The following is a 13,852-nucleotide window of genomic DNA, read 5'->3' on the forward strand; positions in this document are numbered from 1 at the left end:
AGACTTTTCTCCTGATGTTGACCACATCATTAATCTAGTGGGATTATACAGTTCTTGGCCTGTCTCAGAAATATATGCTATTGTTCTTTACTTTATCAAACATGATTTTCAGACATGCACAGTGGCTCACACCTATAATTCCCAGTGCTTTGTGAGGGCCAGGTGGGAGGATCCCTTGAGGCCAGGAGTTCGAGACCAGCCTGGGCAACATAGCGAGACCCCATCTCTATGAAAAAAAAAAAATTAGCCAGTTGTGGTGGCGCACACTTGTAGTCCCAGCTAACAGGAGGCTAAGGCAGGAGCATCACCTGAGCCCAGGAGTTTGAGGCCACACTGAGCTGTGATTGCCCCACTGCACTCCAACCTGGGCAATAGAATGAGATCCTGTCTCTAAAGAAAAACAGAAACATGATTCTCTTTAAAGGGTTAAAAAAGGAAATGAGTATAGCTGCCAGTCAAGAAGCAAGAACCACCCTAATAATTCTTGAGCAGAAAAGTCTAAATTGTAAATCTGATAATACTGTTTTTTGAGAGCCATGACTGAAGTAAAGTATCTAGAAAACATTTTTCAGTTGATATGGTACCATCTGTAAGAGCAGTTAAAATGTGACAGATGGTGGGATGACATCGCAATATTATGCATAAACTCCCTTTCAGGATATGCTTCTGGATATTGTTTATTTGCCAGAAAGAAAAAGCACTGCATTACAAAATGACCCACTGCAGTGAATCTATATATTATACTTATCCCAGCATAAGTTTAAAAAAAAAATTGTGAGAGAAGGCCGGGCGCGGTGGCTCACACCTGTAATCCCAGCACTTTGGGAGGCCAAGGCAGGCGGATCACCTGAGGTCAGGAGTTCAAGACCAGCCTGGCCAACATGGTGAAACCCCATCTCCACTAAAAATCCAAACATTAGCTGGGTGTAGTAGTGGGCGCCTGTAATCCCAGCTATTCGGGAGGCTGAGTCAGGAGAATCCTCGAACCCAGGAGGCAGAGGTTGCAGTGAGCCAAGGTCATGCCATTGTACTATAGCCTGGGTGGCAAAGCGAGACTCCAAAAAAAAAATAAAATAACTGAGAGATAGAGGTCAGAGATGGAAGTGGCTTGCTGTCTCCTTCCAAGGTACTCATTGTTGAATCTCAAGGCTAATGGTTTCTGTTAACCAAGATTAGTAAATTACCACACTGAGGGCCAAACCCAAGGTCTATTTTTACTGTCTTTTTACATTTTTTAATAGTATAAAAATAAACAGGAATATGGGACAGAGACTGGTAGTGGCCTGCAAAGCCTAAAATGTTTGCTATTTGACCCTTTCCAGAAAAAGTTTACCAATCCCTGAAAGGTCAAAAACAGCCTGTGAAGTAGATATGATCTGCAAGATGTATTTTATTTTTCCCAAAATGTATTTTATTTTTCATTTAAATTAGTTGCAAATATATTCAGACTGTAAAATGTCACTTGCAAATTGAGATGTTCAGCTTCTTTTGGAAACTGGATGATTTGGCAACCCTAAGTCTTCATTCCATATGGCAGCAAATCAGCTAGAGGTAAGTGGGACTGTCTCAATAGGATTATAAGGTAGTGAGTTCATGTATTAGAGGGACGCGAGCATGCTTTCTCCTTTAAGTCACAGTTTCGTTCTGAGTTGACAAACTGACTTGAGCTCAAACTTTAGTTTCAACTTTCTAATTCCAGGAAAAATACCTGCCTTGAGGCTGTAATCCTAAGAAATAAAGTCTCCTCTTCTCCTCTTAAAAAAAAAAAAAAATTGGCTCTATTTTTATTGAGATTGTATTACATTTATAAATTAAGCAGAACTGATATCTTGATGATGATGAAACATTCTATCCAAGAAAAAAGGATGCCTTTCTATTTGCTCAAGTACATTTTTGTTTTTTCTGGCAGTTTTGTCGTTTTCTTCACGTAGATTTTTCACATTTCTCATATATATTCCTAAGTATTTTGTTGTTGTTGTTGTTGCCATTCTAAATGGGGTGTTCTCTTCCATTTTTCCTCCTATTTAGCCTTATTTATGTATCTGAAGCCTATTGATTTTGCACATTACTTTTATACTCTGCTTCTTGTTAAATTCTTGTTTATTTTATAATTAATTCTCTGAAAATTTTCAGGTATATTGTCTTTTTCCAGGTATAATCTTTTTCCAGGCATAATCTTCAAATGGACATAGTTTTAGTTCTCTTTCAATCTTATCCTTCTAATTGTTTTCTCTTATTCATTTGCATTGGCTAATATTACTCATAAAACTGTAGTGGAGCCCGGGCGCGGTGGCTCAAGCCTGTAATCCCAGCACTTTGGGAGGCCAAGGCGGGCAGATCTCCTGAGGTCAGGAGTTCAAGACCAGCCTGGCCAACATGGTGAAACCCTGTCTCTACTAAAAATACAAATATTAGCCGGGCGTGGTGGTGTGAACCTGTAATCCCAGCTATTAGGGAGACTGAGGTAGGAGAATTGCTTGAACTAGGGAGGTGGAGGTGGCAGTGAGCCAAGATCATATCACTGCACTCCAGCCTGGGCAACAGAGTGAGACTCCATCTAAAATACACAAACACACACACACACACACACACATATATATATATATATATTTATTAGAAGTTTTCTTTCCTTTCATAGGTCCCAAAACAATTTATGTAGCATTGGGACTATTTGGTCTCTAAAGATACTCAACTATAGGCCAGGCACGGTGGCTCACACCTGTAATCCCAGCACTTTGGGAGGCCGAGGCAGGTGGATCACGAGGTCAGGAGTTCAAGACCAGCCTGGCCAAGATGGTGAAACCCTGTCTCTACTAAAAATACAAAAAATTAGCCAGGCACGGTGGCAGGCGCCTGTAATATCAGCTACTCAGGAGGCTGAGGCAGGAGAATCGCTTGAACTTGGAGGGCAGAGGTTGCAGTGAGCCGAGATCACGCCACTGCACTCCAGCCTGGGCAACAGAGTGAGACTCCATCTCAGGGAAAAAAAAAAAAAAAGATACTTAACTATAATTTTAAAACAAGAACAAAAACAAAAATTAGATAATTCTGTACATATTGGTCAACATTGTTTTATCTTTCATTTAAAACTGTTACTGAGCCAGTTACAGTGGCTCATGCCTGTAATCGCAGCTTTGGGAGGCCAAAGTGGGATGATCAGTTGAACCCAGGAGTTCAAGACTGCGGTGAGCCATGACCACGCCACTGCACTCCAGCCAGGGCAACAGAGACTTCCATTCAAAATATAAGAAATAAATTAATGACCCTGATTCAAAAAACAGTCAATAAAATGATTATTGGACATCTTCACATATTAGTCATAGATTTACCTCGTTTGTCTTACTTGCTATATAGTATTTCTTCATAATGATATAGTTTATTGGCCAGGCGCAGTGGCTCATGCCTGTAATCCCAGCACTTTGGGAGGCCGAGACGGGCAGATCACGAGGTCAGGAGATCGAGACCATCCTGGCTAACACGGTGAAACCCCGTCTCTACTAAAAATACAAAAAAAAATTAGCCGGGCGTGGTGGTGGGTGCCTGTAGTCCCAGCTACTCGGGAGGCTGAGGCAGAAGAATGGCGTGAACCTGGGAGGTGGAGCTTGCAGTGAGCTGAGATCACAGCACTGCACTCCAGCCTGGAGGACAGAGCGAGACTCTGTCTCAAAAAAAAAAAAAGATATACTGTAGTTTATTAAACCAAAATTGATGAACATTTGGTGTGTTTTCAGTTTCATGGTATTTCAGACAATATTTTCAAGAACTTTTTTTTTCTTTTTTTTTTTTTTTTGATATGGTCTTGCTCTGTTGTCCAGGCTGAGGTGCAGTGACATGATCACAGCTCATGCCACCACACCTGGCTAATTTTTAAATTATTTGTGGAGATGGGGATCTCCCTATCTTGCCCAGGCCAGTCCTGAACTTCTGGGCTCAGGTGATCCTCCTACCTCAGCCTCCCAAAGAGCTGGGATTAGAGGCGTAAGCCACCTTGTCTGGCCTCAGAGAACATTTCTAAATATATCTGTTTGCACATTTGTGGGAAATCTAAGGATGAATTCCTTGACAAAAAAGAAGAAAAGAGTTCATATTCAGAAAGAATTGATCCTCGAAAAGGAATGTGAGATGTAAGATAGAGCTGAATTTTATAGAAAAGAAGAGGAAAGGTAATGGCTTTGAGGACTTCTAAAATTGCTTTTTCCAACGGGTTTCAGAAATGAACTCTTAAGTAAGTTTTTTATTAAAAAGATTTGTGGGTTGGGCACAGTGGCTCATGACTGTAATACCAGCACTTTGGGAAGCCGAGGTGGTCAGATACCTGAGGTCAGGAGTTTGAGATCAGCCTGGCCAACACAGCAAAACTCTATCTCTACTAAAAATACAAAAATTAGCCGGGCCTGGTAGTGCATGTCTGTACTCCCAGCTACTCCGGAGGCTGAGGCAGGAGAATCACTTGAACCCGGGAGGCAGAGGTTGCCGTGAGCTGAGATCGTGCCACTGCACTCCAGCCTTGGTATCAGAGCAAGACTCCTTAAAAAAAAAAAAAAAAAAAGATTTATATAAAATGAGCTGGGTATCTATTATAAAAAACATATTTATTGGCCAGGCGCGGTGGCTCATGCCTGTAATCCCAGCATTTTGGAAGGACGAGGCGAGCGGATCACAAGGTCAGGAGTTCGAGACCAGCCTGGCCAATATGGTGAAACCCTGTCTCTACTAAAAATACAAAAATTAGCCGGGTGTGGTGGCAGGCATCTATAGTCCCAGCTACTCCAGAGGCTGAGGCAGGAGAATCACTTGAACCTGGGAAGCGGAGGTTGCAGTGAGCCGAGATCACGCCACTGCACTCAAGCCTGGGCAACAGAGTGAGACTCCGTCTCAAAAAAAATAAATAAATAAAAAAATAAAATTTGTTAAAAATACTACCTTTTAGGGTCCTGTGCGGAGGATTACGCCTGTAATCCCAGCACTTTAGAAGGCCAAGGCAAGTGGATCGCTTGAGCCCAGGAGTTAAAGACCAGCCTGGGCAACAAAATGAGACCCTGTCTCTACAAAAAATTAAAAGGATTTATGTGGGTGTACTGGTGTGTGCCTGTAGTTCTAGCTACTCGGGAGGCAAGAGGATCATTTAAACCCAGGAGTATAATGCTGCAGTGAGCCATGATTATGCCACTGCACTCCTGAGTGACAGAATAAGACTCTGTCTCAAAAAAGAAAAAACAAAAACAGAAACAAAAAAAACCTGCCTTTTGGCCAGACGCAGTGGCTCATGCCTGTAATCCCAGCACTTCGGGAGGCTGAGACGGGCGGATCACAAGGTCAGGAGATTGAGACCATCCTGGCTAAAACGGTGAAACCCTGTCTCTACTAAAAATACAAAAAATTAGCCAGGTGTGGTGGCGGGTGCCTGTAGTCCCAGCTACTCGGGAGGCTGAGGCAGGAGAATGGTGTGAATCCAGGAGGCGGAGCTTGCAGTGAGCCGAGATCACGCTACTGCACTCCATCCTGGGCGACAGAGCGAGACTCTGTCTCAAAAAAAAAAAAAAAAAACCTGCCTTTTAGTTGGAATTAATTAATGCAGAAGAAAATTTCTAATGAATATTTATATGTCTTTAGGTTAAAAATTGGCTTTCTAGGCTGGGCGCAGTGGCTCACACCTGTAATTTCAGCACTTTGGTAACCCAAGGCTGGCAGATCACTTGAGCTCAGCAGTTCAAGACAAGCCTGGCCAACATGGTGAAACCCCATCTGTACAAAAAATACAAAAATTAGCTAGGCATGGTGGCCCATGCCTATAATAATCCCAGCCACTCAGGAGGCTGAAGTGGGAGGACCGCTTGAGCCTAGGAGGTCAAGGATGTAGTTAACAATGATCGCACCACTGTACTCCAGCCTGGGTGACAGAGCGAGACACTGTTTCATGAAAGAAAAAAAATTGGCTTTCTAAAGTTAAATCCCAAATGCTTTCTGGAAAACCTCTTTAGAATATAAGTTACCAGTTTGGAGGCTGAATCTGATGCAGAAAGGGTGAGCTGTTTTGCAAGCCTGAACTTGGAAGGCATCATGTTTCTCACAACATTTTGAAAAGTAACTATAGGAACTTTTAACTCATTTAAATTGAACAGATGTGCGGTTTTTTCTCTGTTCAGTTGTGGTTGTTGCTGTGTTTAAGTAAATGTACTTCTTGCTTGCATGTGTTTCCTGTGAGCTCTGGAAACTCACACCTGACTGAATTTAACTTGCTTAGATTTGATTTGATTCTTAGGTCAACTGGAACAATTATTTTGCCTTTAAGTACCCTAACAAAATGTTTATATGTACAAGGATCAAAAAGGCCTGTCTGTCTGTTTGTTACAGATAAAAATATAGTTTTTATAACGATGCTTACGTTAATAAGATCCAGAAAAATAACTTCTTTTTTGGAAAAGTGTCAATCTTTGATGTAACACAGCTTCAGGGAATAAAATTATTTTGCATAACCATAATTGAAAGTGCTATATCTTCAGCAGGAAGGTAGGATAAATAAATTTTTGTTTAGAACAAAATTTTTTAAAAAGACAGTATGGGCCAGGCACAGTGGCTCACACCTATAATCCCAGCACTCTGGGAGACTGAGGCAGGAGGAGCCTAGGAATGTGAGACCAGCCTGGCCAACATGGTGAAACCCAGTCTCTACTAAAAATATAAAAATTAGCCTGGTGTGGTGGTGTGCGCCTGTAGTCCCAGCTACTTGGGAGGCTGAGGTGGGAGGATCACCTTCTTTTCAAGGCCATCTGTCCCTTCAAAATATATTTAATTCCAACATACCACCTTACTCCTAAAGTGACCTTATTATAACATTGTTAACATTGCGATATAGTTGTCACTGCTTCTAAATATTCTGTTGAAATATGTGAAAAGTTAACTTTTTTTTTGAGACAGAGTCTTACTCTGTCATCCAGGCTGGAGTGCAGTGGCACGATCACACCTGCACCTTCTGGCCCCAGTATTTTCAACTTCCACTCTAAATTTTAAAAATCATTAGCATGCAAGTGTGCTTCCGTGAGCCCTCCATCAGGCATGCCCTCTATCTAAACCCATTTCTTCAAGGCACAGCTTAAGTCCAACCTCCTTGATGAGGCCTTCTGTGATAATTCCAGGTCACAGAAACCACCCTTCAGCTCTTACTCTGAACTAAATAACAATGTAAGGTATGTACATTCCTCTGGCACTGGTCATCTTCATAAAGTTACCCAAATGTTCATGTTTGGATGTCTTGTATCCACTACATTTCTAGCACCTTCCTCCTTGAATGGTCCACATAGAAGGCACTTAATATTTCTTGAATGAGTTAATCCAGTCCATTCATTGCGGGTGATGATTATTGCCTCAGTTAAAGCTGTTAACTGGGAAACTAAATAAGCTGTTGGAAATGTTCCTCAAATCTCTGGATTTGAGTATAGAATAAGTGGATTTGGAGTAAAGCCAGCTTGGGTTCCAGTTCTGGCTCTAACTATATAAAGTTAGGCAAGTTACTTAACATTCCTAAGCCTTCATTCATGTCCTTTTTTTTTTTCTTTTTGAGACAAGGTCTCATTCTGTTGCCCAGGCTGGAGTGCAGTGGTAAAATCACAGCTCACTGCAGTCTCGACTTCCCAGGCTCCAGCAATCCTCCCACCTCAGCCTCCTGAGTAGCTGGGACTACAGGCACATGACACCATGCCCGGCTAACTTTTGTATTTTTTCTTTGGAGATGGGATTTCACCACATTGCCCAGGCTGGTCTCAAACTCCTAGACTCAAGTGATCCTCCCGCCTCGGCCTCCCAAAGTGCTGGGATTACAGGCATGAGCCACCACGCCCAGCTCGTGTCCTCTTTCTTGAAGGCAGATAACAATTGGCCTCACAGACGTTGAGCATGCTTGGAGAATTAAGAGAAATAAGGTAGATACAGCAATTAACTCTGTGCTCTAGTATATAGAGTATGTGATCAATAGAAGGTAGTTACATCATTCTGAACATTTAGGGAGTTCCTACTAGAAAGAGATACATCCTCAATGTATAGTTGCGGAGGTTACTGGCACAGGCGCACAGCCCTGCAGGGCCCAGACTCCACCAGAGTTCACTTCCATCTCAGAGTCCTTACTTTTGCACTGGAAGAGCCTACTTTTCCCTGCCCACCCCACTACCACCTCCCAACCTGCCTCTGTACGTCTTTACTGGAAGTCAGGGCATTCTGCACACCTTCCAGGGCAAGGGAAGAGGAGTTACAGAAATTGCAATTGTAACTTAGAAGTTGGGAAATATTTTCTTATAAAAAAGTATCGTTATACATGGTGGTTATCTTTAGTAAAATTACTTAGGACTAAATAGGCTTCTTTGGCCATATCTGGAAATCTAAACCACCACGTCTAAAATTGTTTCTATGGGAAACTATGTTCTGAGTTCCTAGTAACTGACTTAGAAATGAACTATTGGAATGCATCTTATTTGGGGACAGTCTGTAGGTCAACATTCATAACTCATTGTCAGTGAAAAAGGAAATGACATTTGCTCTGCCATTACTGAAACATACTGCACATGTATTTCTGTAACTGTTCCTTGTGGACACCAAGTATCTAAAGTTATTTAAAACAGCAACATAACCCTATCAGATTTAATTGATATCTGCATGTTATTATATTTCAGCTACTAACTCCCCAGCATCTAAGATGTGCATATTAGGTGTCTTTTAGACATTTTTAGAATTTAATACTTTGAAGGAAGGCAGAAGGAGCCTTTTGCTTTTGCAGCGCTCCTCGTGTGTTATATAACTGCTGTGCTGCAGTGATGTTCTCCCTCCCCCTTTTCCTCCTCAGAGCTTCTCTGCCCATGTATGGTAACTGTTCCACAACAGTTTTTGGTACTGAAGTAAGCAAGTAGAATCCTTATTAGGATCCAAGCTTAAAAGTCAAACAGTTTTGGAGCTAAGAGTGAGAATCTTTCATGTGTAGAATCCTGCAGATACCCTATGGATCCACAAAATTAGGTTTAGGACAGTTATTCAAAGAGAAAGAAAAATGTATGAATTTTGATCTGTATGAGATTGGTGTCCTAGCAATAAACCAATCAGTTGCCCTGTTTTAAATTTCTCCTAAGTCCCAAGAAAGCATTTTTCTAACTCTTTTGTTTCCACTTTTGTGTGATTACCATGAAGAGAATCAGAAATGTCTTGCATTTCCTTTCTCTTCTCTTTTTTATGTCCTAGTGTATATGGACAAAAGCAACTTCCATGTACTCTTAGCTGTTTATTACAGGCTTACATTCAGTGCCCCAGTTACTCACCCTCTTTTTTTTTTTTTTTTGAGATGAAGTTTCGCTCTTGTTGCCCAGGCTGCAGTGCAATGGCGTGATCTCAGCTCACTGCAACCTCCACCTCCCCAGTTCAAGCAATTCTCCTGCCTCAGCCTCCCTAGTAGCTGGGATTACAGGCATGCACCACCATGCCCAGCTAATTTTGTATTTTTAGTAGAGACAGGGTTTCTCCATGTTGAAGCTGGTCTCGAACTCCTGACCTCAGGTGATCTGCCCACCTCGGCCTCCCAAAGTGCTGGGATTACAGGCGTGAGCCACTGTGCTTGGCCCACCCTCTCTTTTTAGATCAGTTTCTCTAAGAGAGAGAGAAGATAAAAAGCAGAATTAAGCAGAGCATTCATTCTTTTTCCACTCACTTGTCAAAGCCAGCTCTCAAGAAGGGTTGGATGTAAGCATTATTTAATATATTACTGTAAAGCTTAAGAAGAAATCTCTCCTGGAGTATTTGCCTTGTTCTAAGGGATAGTTGTAACTTTTTGAGAACTATGGAAATTAAACAAGCTGAAACTTTTTTTTTCTACAAAAGAGATTCTTGGAACACCAGAGCTTCTCCAGTCACTTTTGAAATGCCTACTTTATACCATTCACAAAGAGGAATGGCAAGGTCTGAGTCCGAAAGATAATCGGTCTTGGTGCAGAAACAGAAATCGAATTGGTAGTGCATGTCAATAAGCACTGTAATAAAGATTTTCAGAGGATACTGGGGAGGTCAGGAGAAAGACAGCAACTGTCCAGGGGCATCTTAATTTGCCTTGCAGAGGAAGAGATCCACCATCAGGGCTGAGCTTTAAGGGTACAGTGTTCACAAAGCATCACGTTCTCCATAAACGTGTATGATTATTATTTGTCAATTAAATTTTCTTTAAAAGGTAAAGTGTTTTCCTGTAGTAGGGTAGAAGAGTACAAGAAAGATCAGATATTCTATGAGGTGATAATTTGAGGATTCTTTCAGGAAGTAAGAGTGTGATGAATATTGGTACTTTCATTCATTCTTTCACTCAATGAGTATTTACTGGGCACTTAGTAGGTGTTGGAGGTTACAATGGTGATCAAATTCTCATGAAGATTGTGGCCTAGTTTGGAAGACATTGGACAAAAATCTATAAATAGCACTTGTAATATGTGCCCTGATGGGAAAAGCAGGGTGCTAGAACAGAGTTTAACTGAGGATTGGAGTGGCATGGGATCGGAGGAAGTTCAGAGAAGAAAATGACATTTAAACCGAGACCTAAAGCTTTATGGAGGCAGAGGGAACAGCATCTGTGAACATTTCCCATGGGAAAAACCTGACTTTGAAAGGACAGAAAAGTCAGAGCCCTGTGCACAGAAAAAGGAGTAGGTTGTAGGGAGATCCGGAGAATTAGACGCATCCTTCAAGGCTTGTAGGAACTGCCACAGATTTTGGACTTTGTACATAATGGGAAACCATTGAGTGGTTTAGGATCTGTATTTTTAAAATCACCCTGGGCTGGACGTAGTGGCTCACGCCTGTAATCCCAACACTTTGGGAGGCCAAGGTGGGCGGACCACTTGAGGCCAGGAGTTCAAAACCAGCCTGGCCAACATGGCGAAACCTTGTCTCTACTAAAAATACAAAAATCAGCTGGGTATGGTGGCATACGCCCATAATCCCAGCTACTCAGGAGGCTGATGCACGAGAATCACTTCAACCCGGGAAAGCAGAGGTTGCAGTGAGCCGAGATCGTGCTGCCGTACTCCAGTCTCGGTGACAAAGTGAGACTCCATGTCAAAAAGAAAAAATAAATAAATAAATAAATAATTAAGTCCAGCCGCCGTGGTTTACACCTGTAATCCCAGCACTTTGGGAGGCCAAGGCAGGCAGATCACAAGGTCAAGAGACTGAGACCATCCTGGCCAACATGATGAAACCCCGTCTCTACTAAAAATGCCAAAATTAGCTGGGCGTGGTAGCACGCGCCTGTAGTCCCAGCTACTTGAGAGGCTGAGGCAGGAGAATCACTTAAACCCAGGGGGCAGAGGTTGCAGTGAGCCAAGATCATGCCACTGCACTCCAGCCTGGGTGACAGAGCAAGACTGCGTCTCAAAAAAACAAAACAAAACAAAACACAGAAAATGCAAGCCAGGCATAGTGGTTCACACCTGTAATCCCAGCACTTTAGGAGGCTGAGGCAGGAGGATTGCTTGAGCCCAGGAGTTCGAGACCAGCCTTGGCAACATAATAAAACCCTGTCTTTACAAAAAAAAAAAAAAAAAATTAGCTGAGCATGGTAGCATGGGCTTGTAGTCCCAGCTACTGGGGGTGCTGAGGAAGGAGGGTCACTTGAGCCCAAGAGGTTGAGGCTGTGGTGACCAAGAACCTGTCTCGAACAAGCAAGCAAAAAAGAAAAACAAAGTGCAGAAATAAACTTTAGTGTAGCATGTCCAGGCAATTCTACACACTTTGGAATAGCGGGGTGTGAATGAATGAGGGTTAACCATGCCACCACCCTATAATGAAAAGATACAGGAGGGGTGGGTTTTCAGTCCAAGTCAGAGTCATTTAAACAGAGTCAACTGAGATGAGGCTTAGAAGCTCATGTAGGGGATAGGTTTGGAATTTTTTTTTTTTTTTTTTTGAGACAGAGTCTCACTGTATCACCTAGGCTGGAGTTCAGTGGTATGATGTTGACTCACTGCAACCTCCACTTCCTGGGTTCAGGCGATTCTCCTGCCTTGGCCTCCTGAGTAGCTGGTACTACAAGGGCATACCACTACACCTGGCTAATTTTGTATTTTTTGGTAGAGAAGGGGTTTTACATGTTGGCCAGGCTGGTCTCAAACTCCTGACCTTAGATGATCTGCATACCTCGGCCTCCCAAAGTGCTGGAATTTTTTTATGTTTTTATTTTTATTTATTTTTATTTTTTTGAGCCAGCATCTCACTCTTTCACCCAGGCTGGAATGCTGTGGCACTGGCATGGCTCACTGCAGCCTCCAACTCCTGGGCTCAAGGGATCCTTCCACCTCAGCCTCCCAAGTACATAGGACTACAGGCCAGCTGCACCATGCCTGGCTAATTAAAAAAAAAAAAATTATAGAGACAGAATCTCACTAGGTTGACCGGGCTGGTCTTGAACTCCTGGCCTCAAGCAATTCTCCTGACTCAGCCTCCTGGGTAGCTGGGATTACAGGTATGAGCCACAGGATTGGAATTTTTGACAGGAATTTTTGAAGGCCCTAATGAGGTTTTTGGCTTCAGAGGTAACTTACGCAATAAAGCTCTATTTCATTTTTACTTTTCGAAAAGCCACCGTTGAGGTGAAATGGGGACCCGTAGCTCCAGAGAAACAGCGGGAGGCACAACCTCCTCTGTGAAATTCCTCTGTGAGTAGCCAGAGAGCGCCAGAGAACTCTGGTGGTGGAGAGCAAATGAAAGCAGCCAGAAGGGAAACCGGAAATTCTCGCCCAAGGTCTGTGGTGTGAAAAAGTGCCAAGAATGACCAATGAGAACTGCAAATATGAAGAGTAATACTGAAAGTAGAGCATTGTGTTTGGTATAAAGACAGCCTGCCAATGCCTTTTTTGAAATGGAACTCAAGACATGAAGACAGCCAAGCATGGCGTGCCTGTAGTCCCAGCTACTTGGGAGGTTGAGGTAGGAGGACTGCTTGAGCCCAGGAGTTTGAGGCCACCTTGGGCAACACAGTGAGATCTTGCCTCTAAAAAATAAACAAATGAAAAATAAAGATGTGAAGGCAGAGAAAGTAGCAGTAGCAGGTAGACAAACCCAGGAGAGGTGTCGGGGAGAAATGAAAGGGAAATGACAGGGAAGGAAGAGGAGAAAGCATTACTCCCACGTGGGGATTTCTTATGGGAGGGGAAGTGAAAACCACAGAAATTGAAAGAGGAACTTGGGGACCAGAAGGCTTTATTTCCCAGTGTGCTCCCCAACACCCCTTCCCCAAAAGAAACCATCATGTTTGGGGAAAGGTACAAAGGAAATGTCCTATTTGTGCTTAGACTCTGATTTTGAGACTGGGTAAGTTGCCCTTTCCTTGATAGGGGATTGCCTAGGTTGAAACGGTAGGAGGGAGTGTTCCCAGAGTGGAATGCAGCCCGACTGTGTTCAGAAGAAGCATGAAGGTCCCATTCTACTTTGATACTAATACTTGAAAAAGGAGAAAAAATTACAAACTGCCGCTTTTTATGTGGTATTCATGAGGGAAGGAAAGGGGGTGGGAAAGCAGGAGGAAAGCACCATGTAAATCAAGTCTTCCAAGAACTTATTTTATCAAGCATTTAATCAGCTCTTGCTCAAGGCTAATCATAAAAATAAACTGCGCATTTTTACCTGCTGCAGGCAGCTTGCAAACTGCAGGTGTGTTTCAAGAAAGCCACTGTCAAGTCCCCAGTTGCAATTCAAAAGATATTAACTAAGAGCTAAACCAAATTATGGGTCTTACATTATGTTATAAGAACCAGACATAAATTACCACCCAGTTAAAATATCTAGAAATGAGCCAGCAAATGAACTGTCACCAGATGAAGGCCTACACTTTAAA

At 42.6% G+C, this 13,852-nt stretch overlaps 3 annotated features.

Annotated features, from left to right (window-relative positions):
- Nucleotides 1,540-1,679: a silencer, noted in NCBI's record as "silent region_15759". NCBI's record gives its function as "represses an Ori minimal core promoter by ATAC-STARR-seq in GM12878 lymphoblastoid cells {active_cell/tissue: GM12878}" and the evidence as "EXISTENCE:reporter gene assay evidence [ECO:0000049][PMID:35858748]".
- Nucleotides 5,994-6,193: an enhancer, noted in NCBI's record as "active region_22053". NCBI's record gives its function as "activates an Ori minimal core promoter by ATAC-STARR-seq in GM12878 lymphoblastoid cells {active_cell/tissue: GM12878}" and the evidence as "EXISTENCE:reporter gene assay evidence [ECO:0000049][PMID:35858748]".
- Nucleotides 12,599-12,788: an enhancer, noted in NCBI's record as "active region_22054". NCBI's record gives its function as "activates an Ori minimal core promoter by ATAC-STARR-seq in GM12878 lymphoblastoid cells {active_cell/tissue: GM12878}" and the evidence as "EXISTENCE:reporter gene assay evidence [ECO:0000049][PMID:35858748]".

Source organism: Homo sapiens, chromosome 4 (assembly GCF_000001405.40).
Source record: "Homo sapiens chromosome 4, GRCh38.p14 Primary Assembly".
In the NCBI taxonomy this organism is placed as follows: domain Eukaryota; kingdom Metazoa; phylum Chordata; class Mammalia; order Primates; family Hominidae; genus Homo; species Homo sapiens.